This window comes from Homo sapiens, chromosome 13 (assembly GCF_000001405.40).
Source record: "Homo sapiens chromosome 13, GRCh38.p14 Primary Assembly".
Taxonomy (NCBI): Eukaryota; Metazoa; Chordata; class Mammalia; order Primates; family Hominidae; genus Homo; species Homo sapiens.
In genome coordinates, this window is record NC_000013.11 from 34,526,881 (window position 1) to 34,547,030 (window position 20,150).

The following is a 20,150-nucleotide window of genomic DNA, read 5'->3' on the forward strand; positions in this document are numbered from 1 at the left end:
CAACAGATAGGAATGGAGACAGGTGGTGAAGAATAAAGACAGAAGCCAAGAGTCCTGTGGGAAGGAGTAGTGAGGGAAGGAAAACAGGTCACTAGAAAGGTCGGCTTGATGGGGAAATATCAAGGCTGATGGTTAAAAAGGTTCAGTTATGAAAGGTTATTTGTTATCAGACTGAAATGTTTGGAATTCTTCTAGTCTAGGCAAAGGGAAGAAATGGAATACTGAGCAAGAGAGTGAAGGCATAAACATGAAATTTTAGAAAGTTTAATATGGGAGTGGTGTACAGGCTGGATGGGAAGAGAGAGACCAGATGCAAAGAGATCAACTAGCAAGATGTTTGGACTTCTAACGAAAAGAGAATAACTTTCATATGTATTTGTAGGAAATGTACCACTACATATTTGTATACAAACCTGGGAGTAATTCTTGAGTTCATCATGGAAAACAATTACATATATATGGTTATGGACCTTTTTCAGCATTCTCAACTTAGGCTCTTATTTATTTCACTTTATTTCCTTTCACTCACAGACAATTCATTTGCTTTTTCTCAGTTCCACAGCTCCTCCAAAAGCTTCTGGAAGATTTGCATTATCAATAGTTTCATCGTAAGAATTATAAGAAATATAGACACTTTACCAAGTAGAGACCAAAAAGGATGAAGTCAGAGAGGTGGAACTTGTCTTTACCCACCAGGACCAGGGCTGGCTGGCACATTCACAAGGTTGAGGAATATACTCCTCTAACATGCTGAGGGATAAAAGCACCCTTTCAACACACTTGCCCTTTACCCCTCCCTGCTCTGGTTTTCTGCATATACCCTTTTTCCACTTGTGCAGAACAGGCTCCTGTTTTCCGGAGCTTGCCCTTCCTTTAATTCAACACAAATGGGCTATATTTTCCTTGGAAGTCAACCCCAATATTTACTTGGGGCTAGGAAAGAGTCATCCTTTAATGACTCCCTCTTAGTAACTAACTTTTAGGCTAAAACACATGCACAAATATGAAACCTAATTTTTGAGGCTTCTAGAAAGATATGGATAATGAAAAATTATATCAACACTGTCCAGTGGAAATACAATGCAAGCTGCACACATAATTTAAAATGTTCTAGTAACCACATTTTTACAAGTAAAAAGAATCAGGTAAAATTCATTTTAATAACATATTTCATGTAATGCAAAGTATCAAAAATGTCATTTTTTTGATTATGGAAATATTTTACAATTTTCTTTTCATAGGAAGTCTTCAGAATCCAATGTGTGTTTCATACCTACTGCACAATTCAATCTGGATCAGTTATATTTCAAGTGCTCAACAGCTATCATATTGGCAGAGCAGCTCCAAATAGTTCATCAGTGAAATGGATATAATAGTATAGAATACCACATAAGATAGATCTCATTGCCCCTATATTACAGATAAGAAAACTGAGGTTCTAAGAGGTTAAATAACTTTTCCAAGATCACACACTGCTGGGCAATTGCTCACTTGAATTTGTAGCCACTATTTATTTATTTTTAACTTTTATTTTAAGTTCAGGGGTACATGTTCAAGATACGCAGGTTTGATACATAGGTAAATGTCTGCCATGTTGGTTTGTTGTATAGATTATTTCATTACCCAGGTATTATGCCTAGTATCCATTAGTTATTTGGTATGGTTGACTGCATCCCCAACAAATCTCAACTTGAATTGTATCTCCCACAATTCCGACATGTTGTGGGAAGGACCCGGGGGAGGTAATTGAATCATGGGGGCTGGTCTTTCCCCTGCTATTCTCGTGATAGTGTATAAGTCTCACGAGATGTGATGGGTTTATCAATGGTTTCCACTTTTGCTTCTTCCTCATTTCTTCTTGCTGCCACCATGTAAGAAGTACTTTTCACCTCCTGCCATGATTCTAAGGCCTCCCCAGCCATGTGGAACTGTAAGTCTAATTAAACCTCTTTTACTTCCCAGTCTCAAGTATATCTTTATCAGCAGCGTAAAAACAAACTAATACAGTAAACGGGTACCAGTAGAGTGGGGTGTTGCTGAAAAGATATCTGAAAATGTGGAAGTGACTTTGGAACTGGGTAACAGGCACAGGCTGGAATGGTGTGGAGGGCTCAGAAGAAGACAGGAAAATGTGGGAAAGTTTGGAACTTCCTAGAGACTTGTTGAATGGCTTTGCCCAAAATGCTGAGAGTGATATGGACAATAATGTCTAGGCTGAGGTGGTCTCAGATGGAGATGACGAACTTGTTGGGAACTGGAGTAAATGTGATTCCTTGTTATGTTTTAGCAAAGAGACTGGCAGCATTTTGCCCCTGCCCCGGGGATTTGTGGAATTTTGAACTTGAGAAAAATGATTTAGGGTATCTGGTGGAAGAAGTTTCTAAGCAGCAAAGCATTCAAGAGGTGACTTGGGTTCTGTTAAAGGCATTCAGTTTCATAAGGGAAGCAGAGCATAAAAGTTTGGAAAATTTGCAGCCTGACTATGCGACAGAAAAGAAAAACCCATTTTTCTGGGGAGAAATTCAAGCCAGCTGCAGAAATTTGCATAAGTAGCAAGGAGCCTAATGTGAATCCCCAAGACCTTGGGGAAAATGTCTCCAGGCCATGTCAGAGACCTTCACAGCAGTCCCTCCTATCACAAGCCTGGAGGCCCAGGAGGAAAAAGTGGTTTCGTGGCCCAGGCCCAGGGTCCCTCTGCTGTGTGCAGCCTAAGGACTTGATGCCCTGTGTCCCAACCACTTCAGCCATGGCTGAAAGGGGCCAACATACAGCTCGGGCTGTGGCTTCAGAGGGTAGAAGCCCCAAGCTTTGGCAGCTTCCACGTGTTGTTGAGCCTATGGGTGCACAGAAGTCAAGAATTGAGGTTTGGGAACTTCCACCTAAATGCAGAAGATGTATGGAAATGCCTGGATGCCCAGGCAAAAGTTTGCTGTAGGTGCAGGGCCCTCACGGAGAATCTCCGCTAGGGCAGTGCGGAAGGGAAATGTGGGGTCGGAGATCCCACACAAAGTCCCTACTGGGGCACTGCTTAGTGGAGCTGTGAGAAGAGGGCCACTGTTCTCCAGACCCCAGAATGGTAGATCCTCTGACAGCTTGCACTGTGTGCCTGAAAAAGCCACAGACACTCAACAGCAGCCTGTAAAAGCAGCCAGGAGGGAGGCTGTACTCTGCAAAGCCACAGGGGCAGAACAGCCCAAGACCATGGGAACCCACGTCTTGTATTAATGTGACATGGAGTCAAAGAAGATAGTTTTGGGAGCTTTAAAATTTGACTGCCCCACTGGATTTTGGACTTGCTTGGGCCCTATAACCCATTTGTTTTGGCCAATTTCTCCCATTTGGAATGGCTGTATTTACCCAGTACCTGTACCCCCATTATATCTAGGAAGTAAGTAGCTTGCTTTTGATTTTACAGGCTCATAAGTGAAAAGGACTTGCCTTGTCTCAGACGAGACTTTGGACTGTGAACTTTTGGGTTAATGCTGAAATGAGGTAAGACTTTGGGGGACTGTTAGGAAGGTTTTGAAATGTGAGGACATGAGATTCGGAGGGGCTAGGGGTGGAAGCATATAGTTTGGCTGTGTCCCCACCCAAATCTCAACTTGAACTTTATCTCCCAGAATTCCCATGTGTTGTGGGAGGGACCCAGGGGGAGGTAACTGAATCACGGGAGCTGGTCTTTCCTGTGCTATTCTCAAGATAGTGAATAAGTCTCATGAGATCTGATGGGTTTATCAGGGATTTCCACTTTTGCTTCTTCCTCATTTTCTCTTGCCACCACCATGTAAGAAGTGCCTTTCACCTCCCACCATAATTCTGAGGCCTCCCCAGCCATGTGGAACTGTAAGTCCAATGAAACCTCTTTTTCTTCCCAGTCTTGGGTATGTCTTTATCAGCAGCATGAAAATGAACTAATACATAATTCTCTCCCTCCTCCCACCCTCCACTTTCAATAGGACCCAGTGTATGTTGTTACCCTCTATGTGTTCATGTATTCTCATCATTTAGCTCCCACGTGTAAGTGAGAACATGTGGTATTTGGTTTTCTGTTCCTGTGTTAGTTTGCTAAGGATAACAGCCTCCAGCTCCATCCATGTCCCTGCAAAGGAAATGATGATCTTGTTCTTTTTAATGGCAGTATAATATTCCATGGTTTATATGTATGACATTTTCTTTATCCACTCTATCACTGATGGACATTTGGATTGATTCCATGTCTTTGCTATTGTGAATAGTGCTGCAATGAACATATGTATGCATGTGTCTTTATAATAGAAAAATTTAAATTCCTTTGGGTATATACCCAGTAATGGGATTGCTGGGTCGAATTTATTTTGATCACGAAACTTTTGCTTTTTCCACCAGAGTGGAAATGTATCTTCCTGGAAACTTCATTCATTGGAGTTGCTTCTGTTCTCAAGAGTAGCACTACATGCATTTTGTGCCTCAACTATCAGGCTGAGCATCTCCCATCTTCACAAGACTTCCCCCACCATATGGTTTATGGTCCCACTATCATCCCCTTGTGTTCCACTGGATATTCTATCCCCGTATGGATTTTGATATCCTATAAAAATCCATGATATTCCAGAAGTGGTCAGATCTCTGGGCTCTGCAGTAGTGCCACTATACACTTGACCTGGACAATGCTGCTCTTAATACAACCTGACATTGTATTTGCTTTTTTTTTTCTTTAGCAGCTCTGATACTTTATTAGCTCCCAATGAGCTCATCATCAAAACAACCATAAAACTATAACCCCTTCTATATTTGTACAATGTATGCAGTGTTTTACATTTATCCTTGCTAAACTCATTTTAATGCTTTTTTTTCAGTGCCTAGAATCAGTGCTTAATAACATTTTTGTGATATGGATCAATAGTGTTATAAGAGAATATAATAGGATAACTTGACATTGTTAGCACTTAGGCCTGGTTGGAGCCTTTCTACATTTAGGGGAGAAAAAAATTGTTTTTGAAAAAATGACATAGAGGCTGGGCACAGTGGCTCACACTTGTAATCCCAGCACCCAGCACTTTGGGAGGCCGAGGCAGGTGGATCACTCGAGGCCAGGAGTTCAAGACTAGCCTGGCCAACATGGTGAAACACTGTCTCTACTAAAAGTATGAAAAATTAGCCAGGCATGGTGTGTGAGCCTGTAATCCGAGCTACTCGGGAGTCTGAGGCAGGAGAATCAGTTGAACCCAGGAGGCAGAGGTTGCAGTGAGCCGAGATCGTATTACTGCACTTCAGCCTGGGCAACAGAGTGAGACTCTATCTCAAAACAAAAAATGTCATAGAAAGCCTGAAAAATATTTTGAAGAACAAGAAACAACACACAATGGTGGTCATTTGCTTCGTTCACTGATATTTCTGTTTCTGCCCCCTTCAGACACCTTAATAGGATCACACAACACTGCTCCCTTGAAATTAGCTTTGGGCATTTGACACACTTAGAACAATGAAATGGGATGAGTGGGACAGGTCACTTTTAAGTGAAGGCTCTAAAAAGTAGTGTATGGTTTGCCAGGGCCTCTCTTTGCCTCTGCCACTGGTACAGGGATGGGAATTGCTCTTCCTACATAAGTTACAGGGGAGGAGAAAAGATGCAGGGATCCTATTTGGCTGTGATAGGCAGAAGAAGCAAACCTTGTTTGTTATAAGCCACTAAGATTGGGGAGTTGTTACTGCAGTAACAATAATTATAATGTGTTACAATTGTCTAGTCTGATTAATATAGCAATAAGAAGATTCAGTGAAATTATACATTTCTGGGAATAATTTATTAAGAAAAGAAAATCCAATTTTGGAGACTGTTATATGTCCTCAGTGCAAAAATATCAGATTCCATTAAAAAAAAAAAAGAAAAGAAAAAGAACGACTTCCAGCCCAAATCTCTTATCTCTAAATAGATCTGGGAGATACAATGTCAAGGTAGAGAATCTGGCTAATGTGACTAAAGAAATACACTTCCTCCTTCCTCCTACCCCCTTTCCACCTTAAACTGTATTCCTAGCACTACCACTTTATACTAAAATGCCCATATCATCTTGTTACAGGATGTCTGACCTCTGTTTTATAATTACTTTATGGTGCATCATTATTTTTCACTGTGTATCATTATCTTCTCACTATAATCAACAGAATCATCCAGCAGATTTATCTATCAGGAAACAGGGGGGCTAACCTGGGCTGGGTGCTCAGCTTTCTTTTTGGGTTACTTGGTGAGTCCATCATTGTGTAACTTAATGCTAGACTTCCTTCTATCTGATTGTGTGTGTGACCATCCGTCTTCATCATCCTTCCTTTTCATGATGGAGTTTGTATGCTTTTCTGGGACTTTTTGGTACCCAATGTTCGTCGCTTATACTATAAGAGAAGAATATCTGTACTCTATAGGAAAGTTTTGCTTCAGAGATAAAAACAGAACCCAATATGCAAACAGGAAAAAGTTAGGTTGATCTGAGGGTACTCATCTGCCATATGTAATGTCAGATAACAGACAACGCGTATGAAACCGCCAAGAGGAAAATGCCATGAACCAATTTGCTCTGCCAAATTGTTGTTCATGCACAAAAGTAAATAAAGACAGTCTCTGTCACGTAACTTCATAAGAAAAACTTAACATAATTCATTTGACCTAAAAGTGAACAAAGTTTAGAACCTCCAAGTGGGAAATAGCAGGTAAACAGTGAATGAGTTAAACCGTGTTAATCTCAATAGTTTTTATAAAAATGGTTACAGGTTATAAAAATGTAAACATGAAAAATTCTTCTTGAATATGATACATGGTACAAAATGTATTCTTTGCTTCCACACCCCAGATTACGTTAGCTAAGATTTGGGAGTTGCTGGAGTGCAGACAGAATGACAAACTATAAATTCCTCCTTGTACACATGGGGAACCCAAAATATGCTATTTCATTCTTAAGTTTTCATAATCAGAAAAGCATAATGAATAAATCGGTGAATTTCATTTTATTTTTTGTTTATCAATCGTAAGGTTTGAAACACTGAATTGCTGCTTAACTTGAAACTTAGAAAGTATGTAAAGGAATTCTGATTCAAACCCAAATTCTTCTGACGTCTGAGTATTTCCCAATCTTATTGATGTCTCCATCTTTGTCTTAGAACTAATTTTCCCTCCTGAATCTTCTAGCTCAAATACATCCCCACAGAATCAGCCTCACCATGTGCTTTTTTCTTCATTCACTTGAGAAAATTAAGTCTCTGCCTACACGGCCCCACCTCTTCCTTGATTTTCCAGGTGCCAATCTTCTTCATATCATTTGCATGAACATGTTGTCTACCAATCCTCCAAGAATAAAAGGCACACAGCACCCTGAAAAATTGCCCACTCCTCCCAGGCACTTAATCCAGAGGCATAATAAGCAACATTCTACTCACCTGTTTCTACACCTGTTTCTTATTTCTCCCAAGTGGCTCTGATATCTAGCTCTTGATATAATGCATCCTTAAAAGGAATCCTTCCAACAGTTAATGGTCCCCACCACATCTCCTCACACTATTAAAAGAAAAAAAACAGAATAATATTAACAGTGAACAGCAGCAGTCAAAAGAAACCCAGAGCAACACACTGGCAGAATTTTCTACTTGTATTATAGTGTCTATTTGCCTAGACCATTATTTCTCTCAGGCCTAGTGCCTAGAGGTATGTGCTAATTTGCCAGGCTGCTTTAATATTTAGTGAGGAGCCACAGCCAACCAATAATTTTTAATAGCTTGTCCTCTATTGATTTCAGCCCACACATTAAAGCGCCTAATAAAAATTATAGAAAGGTAGGTGACGGGACATAAGGACAAGAGAAAGTTAATAGTTTTGTCCACCTCCATTTGAAGGGAACAAGAGAACTATTTCAACTCATATACAGAGTTTGTATAGTTAGACAATTGCTGACCTCACCATCTTTCAGAAATTTTTTTCTTAACAGACAAAGTCTCACTCTATCACCCAGGCTAGAGTGCAGTGGTGCAATCACAGATCACCGCAACCTCAAGTTATCCTCCTGCCTCAGCCTGCTAAGAAGGTGGGACTACAGGTGTGTGCAGCACCACGCCCAGCTAACTTTAAGATTTTTTGTAGAGATGGGGTCTTGCCATGTTGCCTAGGCTGGTTTCAAACTCCTAAGCTCAAGTGATCCTCCCACCTCAGCCTCTCACACTGGGATTACAGGCATGATTCACCACACCCTGTCTTTTGGCAATATTTTAAAGATTAGCTTACAAAATACACATTCTTTTATTGATATGGCTGTGTTCTTCAGCAATCTCTGAAATCAGTAATTTCTGATGAGGTGTAGGTGGGTTTCTTTTATAAATTCAAAACCCTTGGGGAGTCAGCAATAAAATGTTAAAAGAAAAATAAAGTTCCCAACAGGCAAATAACCCTTGAGATGTTGACCCACGCCACCCCTTGACCTCCTGCCCTGGAATAACTGATGTAATAGGGGACTGCAACAGATAGAGTAAAAAATGAGGCATCTATTGTAATTCCAGAACCGTATATTAGAAGATCCCTGGCACCTAGGCCTGAGACTTTACAAAAGACGAGGATCGTCCTTATCCCTGGATGTGACTTGGGGAGAAAGGAAAAAACTGTGTCAGCTAGAATATATCATTTTAGAAGAAAAGCATTTGTTCTAAAGCAGACTTTAGTCTTAGCATAGAAAACAAGTACCATCCAAAGAAGTCTTTGGGATTATGGATGTGGCAGCTTGCAAAAAAATAAAAAACATGAACGTTAATTAAGTATCTCTTTAAGCCTCAAACTCTTCATGAATTCTGAAATTTATCTTCTAAAGTAATTCAGTCTCTCTTTTCATTCTCACATCTATTTACGTTAGAATGAAACCTAAAGGGTGATTTCTCTTGGGTGAAATACCAGGAGGCTGAGGGAAACAGAATGATTATGGGCATTTAAACCAGAAGTGTATCAGAAAGGGGCACTACTCAAAGACAGATATGTGTCCTCGGTGGTATGGTACCCCATTTGTGCTGAAAGATGTTTTTGAAGAGATCAGGAGTGGTGCAGTGAAAGGATTTTTTACAACACTGAAGCAGGCTTTAACAGGCTACCATTAAAACCCATATGTTCAGAAAAACATGCGACTCAAGCTTGCTTACTCAGCAACTACACATTGGTTGAGTCCCTGCAGGTCAAACACAGGGCTGGGCAGCATGAGAGACAAAGGAAAAAAACATAATTTACTTGCCAAATAGGATTACCAGTTAACCATAAAAGCAAAACACACTCATGAAATAATGTGAGGGAGAAAACAAAGTGACATTTTAGTAGGTCACTGTGCTAGACTCTGAGGATTAAATGGAGGAATGGTCTAGACCCCTCTAGCTAAGAGCTTATTTATGACACAACTAGGGTCCAATATAGGAATATCTATTTTGTGTTCAAGTCAGCTGAGGCCTCGACGATGTCACGGTAGGGTGAACGACCCTTCCTCCCCATTTGCAGGGGAACAGGGAGGTTCCTGGGATGAGAGATTTTCAGTGTTAGAACTGGGACAGTCCCAGGAAAACTGAGATAAGTTTGTCACTCAACGTGGTGAAACAAGCGTAGTTTTGGAGACAGATGGCTCTATGTTTAAATCAAAGTCCTGCTGCCACTGCCTCTGAGACAATGAACAAGAAATGATTTTAAATTGCTGTTTGTGTCTTTTATTGCTTATCTGAAAAAATAGGTTTCATAGATTATATAGATAGTGTATTCAGGTACCTGGCACATGGTGGGCACATCGTAATTATAGCATGTGCTACACGCTAAAGCAGTGCTTTAGACAGACATCTCTAAGGATTTCAGAAGAAGGAAATAGCCATTGCAGTTTGGGATGGACAGGAAAGATTCATAAGTAGGATGACATATCATTTATCTTCTAAGCCTGGATACTTTTGAATGAGAAACAGGATACTGTTAATAAGTATGCTGAGACAACAGGTATAAAAAGTGCCTGCTCTAGGCCAATCAGAGAGTATGGTCAGCAAACCTTGACTTCAGCATTGAAGACAGACTGGAACTTAGATTGCAGGAAAATTATGAGATGCAAAGGCCAGGTTCCACTAGGCATTTTTATAAACTGGTTAGAGAAGCCTGATCAGTCCTTGTTAAAGGATTCTTAAATGCCAATTAGCAAGTTGGTTTTGTCTCTTAGACCAAGAGGAACCACTAATAGTGTTTGAGTCAAATGGCAAAATGCAGAAATGTCATGACAGCTGAAGAGTCTAAAGAACTCATCTTCTGGCTGGATGCGGTGGCTCACGCCTGTAATCTCAGCACTTTGGGAGGCCGAGGGGGGCGGATCACGAGATCAGTAGATTGAGACCATCCTGGCTAACATGGTGAAACTTTGTCTCTACCAAAAATACAAACAAAAAAAAAATAGCTGGGTGTGGTGGCGGGCGCCTGTAGTCCCAGCTACTCAGGAGGCTGAGGCAGGAGAATAGTGTGAACCCAGGAGGCGGAGCTTGCAGTGAGCCGAGATCACGCCACTGCACTCCAGGCTCAAAGACAGAATGAGACTCTGCCTCAAAAAAAAAAAAAACTTATCTTCTACAATAGTCTTTATTTTCCATTAGATCCCCTACATATTTCCCAGTCACTTCCCCTATAATTTATGATCCTTTGAAGCCCAAGCACTGTTTCCTAAATCTAATCATTTCTTTGTTTCACTTCTTAGCTTGGTGCAAAAGTAATTGCAATTTTTTGCCATTGAAAGTAATGGCAAAAACCAACTGGGCACAATGGCTCCTGCCTGTAATCCCAGCACTTTGGGAGGCCAAGGTGGGCCAATTACCTGAGGTCAGGAGTTCAAGACTAGCTTGGCCAACATGGTGAAACCCCAACTCCACTAAAAATTCAAAAATTAGCCAGATGTGTTGGCACACACCTGTAATCCCAGCTACTTGGGAGACTGAGGCAGGAGAATCACTTGAACCCAGGAGGCAGAGGTTGCGGTGAGCCAAGATTGCACCATTGCACTCCAGCCTGGGGAACAGAGTGAGACTGCCTCTCAAAAAAAAAAAAGAAAAGAAAAAGAAAAAAAAAAAAGGCAAAACCGCAATTATTTTTGCACCAACCTAATATTTTCTGTGATCTCTGTGCCAATAAATATTAACAAAACCTGCGTGTCTTTTCTTCTGTAGTTTAATTTGCAGGCCCCCAAGCACTTAGCATAAGCAAGTAGACAAAAATTTTTTCCTCCCCAACACCCAACATTCTTTTTTTTTTTTTTTTTGAGATTGAGTCTCACTCTGTCACCCAGACTGGAGTGCAGTGGAGCAATTTTGGCTCACTGGAACCTCCACCTCCTGGGTTCAGGCGATTCTCCTGCCTCAGCCTCCCAAGTAGCTGGGACTACAGGCGAATACCACCACGCCCAGCTCATTTTTGTATTTTTAGTACAGACAGGGTTTCACCATGTTGGTCAGGGTGGTCTTGAACTCCTGACCTCGTGATCCACCCGCCAGGGCTTCCCAAAGTGCTGGGATTACAGGTGTGAGCCACCGCGCCCAGCTTCAACATGCATTTTAACCATGAGAAAATCAAGGAAAACCCAATTTATCTGACTTCAAATTTCTTGCCCTTTCAATGAAGCTCCCTCTAGATTACACTTTTTTGCAGAGGTAAGAAATGGTTTCAGAGAATGGATTCCCCTGAAGTCACAGGAGACAAAGTTTTACCAGGCTGGGTAGGAGGGAAGGGGGTGGAAAACCAGGAAGTCTCTGACTCTGGCAGGATTATTCTAAAGCAATTTGCCACATTGCTTTACAGTAATTTCTCCACAGATAAAATCCCTAAGGGTCAAAAAAATTGGCTGACAGGGAGATGAATGGATCTTCTCATTAACAACAACAACAAAAAAATTCTCTTAATTGTGCCCTATCCCTGAGCTTTTTCATACACACCCAACTGGAAATATCATGTGTTCGACTCTTGATCAGCTTGATATAAAGTAATATTAAAGCAGGGACTCATAATGAAACATGTTAAATTGCTACCCTGTCCTTCTATCTCCCCCTTGCCAAAAAAAAAAGAAAAACTTAAATTAAACTATGAAGGAATTGATGACTAGTGATAGTCTCTACAGAACAGTATGGGAATCAATTAAAACAGAAGCTAAAACATGCCTCAGGATGTAATTGATAACATGATGAGACAGAGAAAAAAACTGTTAAGTGTGAAGTTAAATTCAAAACATCTTACTTAGAGAAAATGCAAAGGCTTCTTTTATCCCACAGGACCAATCTCAAGAACTATTAGTTTCTCAGGAAGCAAGAATCAGAGAATAATTGTTGCTGTTTGTTTATTCTTGACAGTTTCAAAGGACAATCTCTCTTGGGGGAAAATTTCTGTTTTCAACTTAAAAGTTCATTCTAAACCCAAGACCATTCCAGGAAAGCTTTTTGGCTCTTTCTTGAACTTTGGAAATAAATTTTGCACAATTTTTCGTAATCCATTTATTTAGTTGCTTCAATTATCCCTTCTCAAATTCAGAGGTTTAGAAACATCACTGGATAGGGAACATATTCAGAAAAAAAAAAATCAGTATTACAAAGACTAGACGCCAGTCCAGTGAGAAAAAGAAAAAAAGGCCAGGATTATGTCCATGGTGGTCTCCGAATTGCATAATTGCCATTTTCAGTGTTGAGGCCTACTGATTGTGGATGTGATGTTTCAATATTTCATAAAATGTTAAAATGCTTTTACTTGAGTTATAGCTCAGTCATTTTGGCACTTAGGTCTGGTTAAGCGCTGGTTGCCAGATTTTCTTAGTGCGTTATCCACTAAGCCACAACCACTGCTAAGAAAACCTTAATTCCTATTAAAATGTTAAAACTTGGTAAGAAAGATTTGGTTTGAGTTTGGACAGATAGAAGATGTGAGCGTTCTCGCTCTCCCTCTCCCTCTCCCTCTCCCTCTCCCTCTCCCTCTCCCTCTCCGTCTCCCTCTCCCTCTCCCCACAGTCTCCCTCTCATGTGGAGCCGAAGCTGGACTGTACTGCTGCCATCTCGGCTCACTGCAACCTCCCTGCCTGATTCTCCTGCCTCAGCCTGCCGAGTGCCTGCGATTGCAGGCACGCGCCGCCACGCCTGACTGGTTTTGGTGGAGACGGGGTTTCACTGTGTTGGCCGGGCCGGTCTCCAGCCCCTAACCGCGAGTGATCCGCCAGCCTCGGCCTCCCGAGGTGCCGGGATTGCAGACGGAGTCTCGTTCACTCAGTGCTCAATGGTGCCCAGGCTGGAGTGCAGTGGCGTGATCTCGGCTCACTACAACCTACACCTCCCAGCCGCCTGCCTTGGCCTCCCAAAGTGCCGAGATTGCAGCCTCTGCCCGGCCGCCACCCCGTCTGGGAAGTGAGGAGTGTCTCTGCCTGGCCGCCCATGTCTGGGATGTGAGGAGCCCCTCTGCCTGGCTGCCCAGTCTGGAAAGTGAGGAGCGTCTCCGCCCGGCCGCCATCCCATCTAGGAAGTGAGGAGCGCCTCTTCCCAGCCGCCATCACATCTAGGAAGTGAGGAGCGTCTCTGCCCGGCCGCCCATCGTCTGAGATGTGGGGAGCGCCTCTGCCCCGCCGCCCCATCTGGGATGTGAGGAGCGCCTCTGCCCGGCCGAGACCCCGTCTGGGAGGTGAGGAGCGTCTCTGCCCGGCCGCCCCGTCTGAGAAGTGAGGAGACCCTCTGCCTGGCAACCACCCCGTCTGAGAAGTGAGGAGCCCCTCCGCCCGGCAGCCGCCCCGTCTGAGAAGTGTGGAGCCTCTCCGCCCGGCAGCCACCCCATCTGGGAAGTGAGGAGCGTCTCCGCCCGGCAGCCACCCCGTCCGGGAGGGAGGTGGGGGGGGTCAGCCCCCCGCCCGGCCAGCCGCCCCATCCGGGAGGGAGGTGGGGAGTCAGCCCCCCCGCCCGGCCAGCCGTGCCATCCGGGAGGGAGGTGGGGGGGTCAGCCCCCCGCCCAGCCAGCCGCCCTGTCCGGGAGGGAGGTGGGGGGGGTCAGCCCTCCGCCCGGCCAGCCGCCCCGTCTGGGAGGTGAGGGGCGCCTCTGCCCGGCCGCCCCTACTGGGAAGTGAGGAGCCCCTCTGCCCGGCCAGCCACCCGGTCCGGGAGGGAGGTGGGGGGGTCAGCCCCCCCACCCGGCCAGCCGCCCCGTCCGGGAGGGAGGTGGGGGGGTCAGCCCCCCGCCTGGCCAGCCGCCCCATCCGGGAGGGAGGTGGGGGGGTCAGCCCCCCGCCTGGCCAGCCGCCCTGTCCGGGAGGGAGGTGGGGGGGTCAGCCCTCCGCCCGGCCAGCCGCCCCGTCTGGGACGTGAGGGGCGCCTCTGCCCGGCCGCCCCTACTGGGAAGTGAGGAGCCCCTCTGCCCGGCCAGCCGCCCGGTCCGGGAGGGAGGTGGGGGGGGTCAGCCCCCCGCCCGGCCAGCCGCCCCGTCCGGGAGGGAGGTGGGGGGGGTCAGCCCCCCCTGCCCGGCCAGCCGCCCCGTCCGGGAGGTGAGGGGCGCCTCTGCCCGGCCGCCCCTACTGGGAAGTGAGGAGCCCCTCTGCCCGGCCACCACCCCGTCTGGGAGGTGTGCCCAACAGCTCATTGAGAACGGGCCAGGATGACAATGGCGGCTTTGTGGAATGGAAAGGTGGGGAAAAGATTGAGAAATCGGATGGTTGCCGTGTCTGTGTAGAAAGAAGTAGACATGGGAGACTTTTCATTTTGTTCTGCACTAAGAAAAATTCTTCTGCCTTGGGATCCTGTTGATCTGTGACCTTACCCCCAACCCTGTGCTCTCTGAAACATGTGCTGTGTCCACTCATGGTTAAATGGAAAAAAAAAAAAAAAAAGAAAGATTTGGTTTCTGCACAAGAGCACAATCAGCTGTTGTTTCACTTGCAATACTAAAGGCTTAATAATATCTAACATTCAATATTAAAATATAAAATGTATTTGGTACCAACACTATATATCATTTCAATCCTTAAAGAACTTTTCTGAATCATTGGGAATATTTCAGGGAAAATTACTTAGAAAGAACAGATACCTGCATTACATTGCTCTGAAATTAAGGTAGAATTATTGTACCCCATTAAAATTTGTAATCTCTTGTTAATGAAGTTTAAAAAGACAGCACATTTATTGCAAGGGAGCTGAGAGAAAGGAAGTAGTAATTATCAGAATATATGCACCAAATCATTATTCCACCTCATTCCTTATGCATTTAAACTGTCTCTCTCTACCACGAGTCTTTTTAAATAAAAACTGAAGATTTTGATTGCCTACTTAATGAAAACTTAGATGCAGTCCAGTCAGCTAGTTTTAAGAGAAGAAAAATCTTAAATTTTTTTACCATAGCTCCCAGATTAATTAATGACAGAAGGGTTAAAATTTCAAATACACATTTGTCTTGTTAACACATAATTGATCCTAACTCCTCAAAGACAGTTCCTCCTTTTTAATGGCAGGCATCTAGTTTGTAAAACAAGGTAACGTTAGTGAGAAATACAGCATAGAAAGAAGGGTCTATATAGGCTTCAGGGACTTGTCTCTTTCTAAAATTTCTTTTTCGTCATAATCAAACAAGCATTCCAGTGTACACTGTCTACCATGCACTTTACAAGCACTATCTTGTTTAAACCTGACAACAATCCTCTGTGGTATGAATTAATATTTTCCTTATTACACGAATGAAAATTTCATGACCCAAAGAAGTTAACTAACTTGTTCGAGGTAATTCTACTGGTAATGGCATACCTTGAATTTGAATCCAAATTCAGTTGACACTTAAGTCTGTGCTTTATCACTGAGCAAACCTGCAGTCATCAAAACATCTGATAAATTATTTCTACAAAGTCAGAAAACTCCACATCAGACAGCCTATTTCACTAACATTTTTTCTTTCACTACTGCTTATAAATGAACCTGCCAGCAAGACCAGGCGAAAGCTTATCGGTTGCTCCGCTTTCAGCAGCATGAGACTCCCGAAACATGTCTATATATTTGAAGTCCTCTATCGGTTCTTTATCACGCCTGTTGCAATTTTATGATTTATGTGAGCAAAAAAGCCCCATATTTCCCTCTGGTTGGCCAGTCAATCCACAGCACCCTCCCCTAAGTCACATCCCTCTCTGAAAAACCACAAACACCTGAAGATATTTTTTTTAGTTGTTTATTTTTCCTTTTAGTTGACACATACTAATAGTGCATATTTATGGGGTAGAGTGTGATGTTTTGATACATGTGTACTTTATGTAATGATCAAATCAGGGTAATTAGCCTATCTATCACCTCAAACACTTGTCATTTCTTTGTCGTGGGGACATCTAAAATCCTTTCCTCTAGCTATAGTCAAGAGCCACATAATAATGACATTTAGTCAAGGATGGACCACATATGACAGTCATCCTATAATATTATAATGGAGCTGAAAAAAATTCCTGTCACCTGGTGAGGTCTTAAAGATCCTGACCCTGTGTAGGCCTAAGCTAATGTATGTGTTTGTGTTTTAGTTATTAAAAGAAAAAAAAAATGTTTAGGCCGTGTGCTGTGGCTCATGCCTGTAATCCTAGCACTTTGGGAGGTCAAGGCAGGTGGATCACTTGAGGTCAGGAGTTCAAGACCAGCCTGGCCAACATGGTGAAACTCCATTTCTACTAAAAATACAAAAATTAGCCGGGGGTGGGGGCGCATGCCTATAATCCCAGCTACCTCAGAGGCTGAGGCAGGAGAATCGCTAGAACCAGGGAGGCAGAGGCTGCAGTGAGGCGAGATCATGCCACTGCACTCCAGCCTGGGCAACAGAGTGAGACTCAGTCTCAAAAAAAAAAAAAAAAAGGTTAAAAAGTAAAATAAAAATTAAAAGTTTTTAAAACAGGAAAAAGCTTATAGAATAACGATATAAAGAAAAAATAGTATTGTAAAACTATTCCATGTCTTTGCATTTTAAGCTGTTATTACAAAAGAGTTAAAAGGTTTTTTTAATGTTTAAAGTTTAAAAAGTTAAAAAGTTACAGTTAGCTAAGGTTAATTTATTATGGAAGAAAGACAAATGTTGTATAAGTTTAGTGCAGTGTTAAGCGAACAGTGTTTATGAAGCCTGCAGTAGTGTAATGACTTAGGCCTTCACGTTCACTCAGCAGTCACTCACTGACTCACCCAGAGCAACTTCTCTCGTCCTGCAAGTGCCATTCGTGGTAACTGCCCTATACAGGTGTACCATTTTAATCTTTTACAACATATTTTTACTGTAACTTTTCTAAGTTTAGCCATGTTTAGGCACATAAATACTTACCATTGTGTTACAATTGCCTACAATATTCAGTATAGTAACATGCTGTACAGGTTTATTGCCTAGGAGCAATAGGTTATACCACCTAGACTTGCATGAGTATACTGTATGAAGTTCACACAATGACAAAATAGCCTAAGAACACATTTCACCGAAGGTATCCTCATCATTATGCAATGCATAATTGTATTTTGAAATATCTTGTACATTATTAATAACTACAGTCACCTAACTGTGCAATAGAACATCAGGACTTATTCCTCCCATCTAACTTTAACTCTGTAGCCACTGACCCATCTCTCACAATATCCCCTCCCCGTGACGCTACCCGGACTCCGGTAACCAGCATTCCACTCCATACTTCAATGAGATCAACTTTTTTAGATTTCATACAAAAGTGAGATAATACAGAAAACAGTATTTTTCCTTCTGTCCTTGGCTTATTTTACTTAACATAATGCCCTCTAGGTTCATTCATGTTGTTGCAAATGATGGGATTCAATTCTTTCTTATGGCTGAGTAGTATTCCATTGTGTATATATGCCACAAGTTTTTAACCATCCATTTGTTGATGGACACTTAGATTGATTCCATATCTTGGCAATTGCAAAGAGTGTTACAATAAACATACGTGTGCAGATATGTGTCTGACACACTGATTTCTTTTTCTCTGGATATGTGGTCAGTAGTAGTATTGCTGGATCAAATGGTAGCTCTATTTTTAATTATTTGAGAAACTTTTGTTGTTGTCCACAATGGCTATCTAACTTGCATTCTCATCAACAGTGTATAAGTTCCTCTTTCACCATATCCTCACCAGCATTTGTCATTTTTTTCTTTTTGACTATATCCATTCTAACTGGAGTGAGATGATATCTCATTGTAGATTTGATTTGTTTGCATTTCCCTGATGATTAACGATGTTGAACATTTTTTCATATAACTGTTGGCCATTTGTATGTCATCTTCTGAAAAATATCAATTCAGATCTTTTGTCTTATTTTTAATCAGATAACTTGGGGGGTTTCTGCTACTGAGTTGTTTGAGTTCCCTATTTATTCTTGATATTAACCCCTTGTCAGTGGTATAGTTTGCAAATATTTTCTCTCATTCTGTGGGTTTTCGCTTCACTCTGCTGTTTGTATCCTTTGCTGTGCAGAAGATTTTTCGTTTGATGTAATCCCATTTGTCTATTTTTGCTTTTGTTGCCTGTGCTTTTAAGGTCTTACACAAAAACACTCTTTGCCCAGACCAATATCCTGGAGCATTTCCCCAATGTTTTCTTCTAGTAGTTTCATAGTTTCACATCCTACATTTACATCTTTAATGCATTTTGAGTTGATTTTAATAAATGGTGAGAGACAGGAGTTTAGTTTCACTCTTCTGCGTGTAGACATCCAGTTTTCCCAGCACCATTTATTGAAGAGACTGCCCTTTCCCTACTCTCTCAGACAAGATAAGGCATTGTCACCTCAATGCTAACTTAGCACTTAGCCCTTACCTTCATCAGAACACAGATCACATTGCGGATGAATCATCTTCATATACCAAGCCTGCCTCTTCATTTTCAATCAATCTGTTGGTGCACACAGGAAATCTATATCTCAGTCTTCTATTTTTCTAAGACTTGTTGAAACAGCTGATTATTATTATTGTAATTTTCTCCTCATGAATCTGTCCAAATTATTTAAAAAAAAACACAGTATCTTTAACTTTGTAAGTGGTAAAAGCAAAAAACTGTAAAAAACACAGTACCTTTAACTTTGTAAGTGGTAAAAGCAAAAAATAGCCACAAGCAATTTATCTCAAAGTCATGAAGAATGTGAAGCCTCTACTTGAGAAAAGGCCCTTGAAAACAAAGAATGCATATTATTGCACAGGGTTGTATTTCAGGCTCCTCTATACCACAAACATTTCAGAAAACTCTAATCATTGAGAAAATGCCAAATTAATATTTAGTCTTTGGAAACTAATTTCGTGAATAATTTCATTATAATAGCCTACAACTATGGTTTTGAATGAGAAACCACTTTGGAAATTAATAGTTTGGTTGCTGAAACAAAAAATTATTAACTCTCCATCATCAATTAAAATAATATATGGTACTATGAAGCACTTCCATACGGAATAAATAATGAATATCTGGAAAACTGTAAATTATATAAATCCTAAAAACCTAAAATAAAAAGGAAATTAAAGACTATTTAGCAAAAGCAAATTTGTTGTTCTCCCTGAAGGGAAAACATAAAGGTCTTTTAGAAGATTAAAGATTCATGTCTGTGCTGCTTTCTGAAAATTCCTATGAATCATTCAGTCTTATTGAAATGCACAATTACTACTTACATAAATAGAACATTCTCATATATATGTATATGTGTGTGATGATTTGTGCATTTTTGTGGCATCAATGTAACTAGAGCTTTAAACTTTGTTATATTAAAAAATAAATCATTTGAGGTCTTTGCCAGCTTCTATTCTGCCTAGAGCTGTGAAAGGAAGGGGTGGAGGAGGACAAAATTAGATATCCCAGGAATAGAAGGCTCATTGGAGTACAATATAATCTGAAAATCCAAGAAACTTGAATCTTATCTGACAATGTTCTCAGGAGATACTCAGGATGGAAAGTAGCTATTTTGTGTCTAAACAATTTCCAAGACTAGAGAAATTGCAAGCTCTCCACAGATGCTACCAGTAAAATGCTTCAGAAGAGAGTTCATTTTTGCCTCAGTAATAATGCCTTAGCACAGTAGGGTTTGTGTATTCATGAGTGGGCGTGGGCATAGTACCCGGGAAAGTGCTTAATTAGTGTCCGTAGCTAAGGAAAGAGAGAAGAAGCCAGCAAGTGCATGCAGGGAATGCC

At 41.9% G+C, this 20,150-nt stretch overlaps 2 long non-coding RNA genes across 2 annotated transcripts in view; one reads left to right on the top strand and one right to left on the bottom strand.

Annotated features, from left to right (window-relative positions):
- Positions 1 to 20,150, top strand: part of LINC02343 (long intergenic non-protein coding RNA 2343) — a 268,250-nt gene that overhangs the window by 178,838 nt on the left and 69,262 nt on the right. The gene's annotated exons all lie outside the window — the stretch shown is intronic.
- Positions 1 to 20,150, bottom strand: part of LINC00457 (long intergenic non-protein coding RNA 457) — a 205,236-nt gene that overhangs the window by 91,431 nt on the left and 93,655 nt on the right. Inside the window, exon 2 of the long non-coding RNA NR_047036.1 lies at positions 7,408 to 7,525. This is a non-coding gene — a long non-coding RNA (long intergenic non-protein coding RNA 457). The remainder of the gene's footprint in view (positions 1 to 7,407; positions 7,526 to 20,150) is intronic.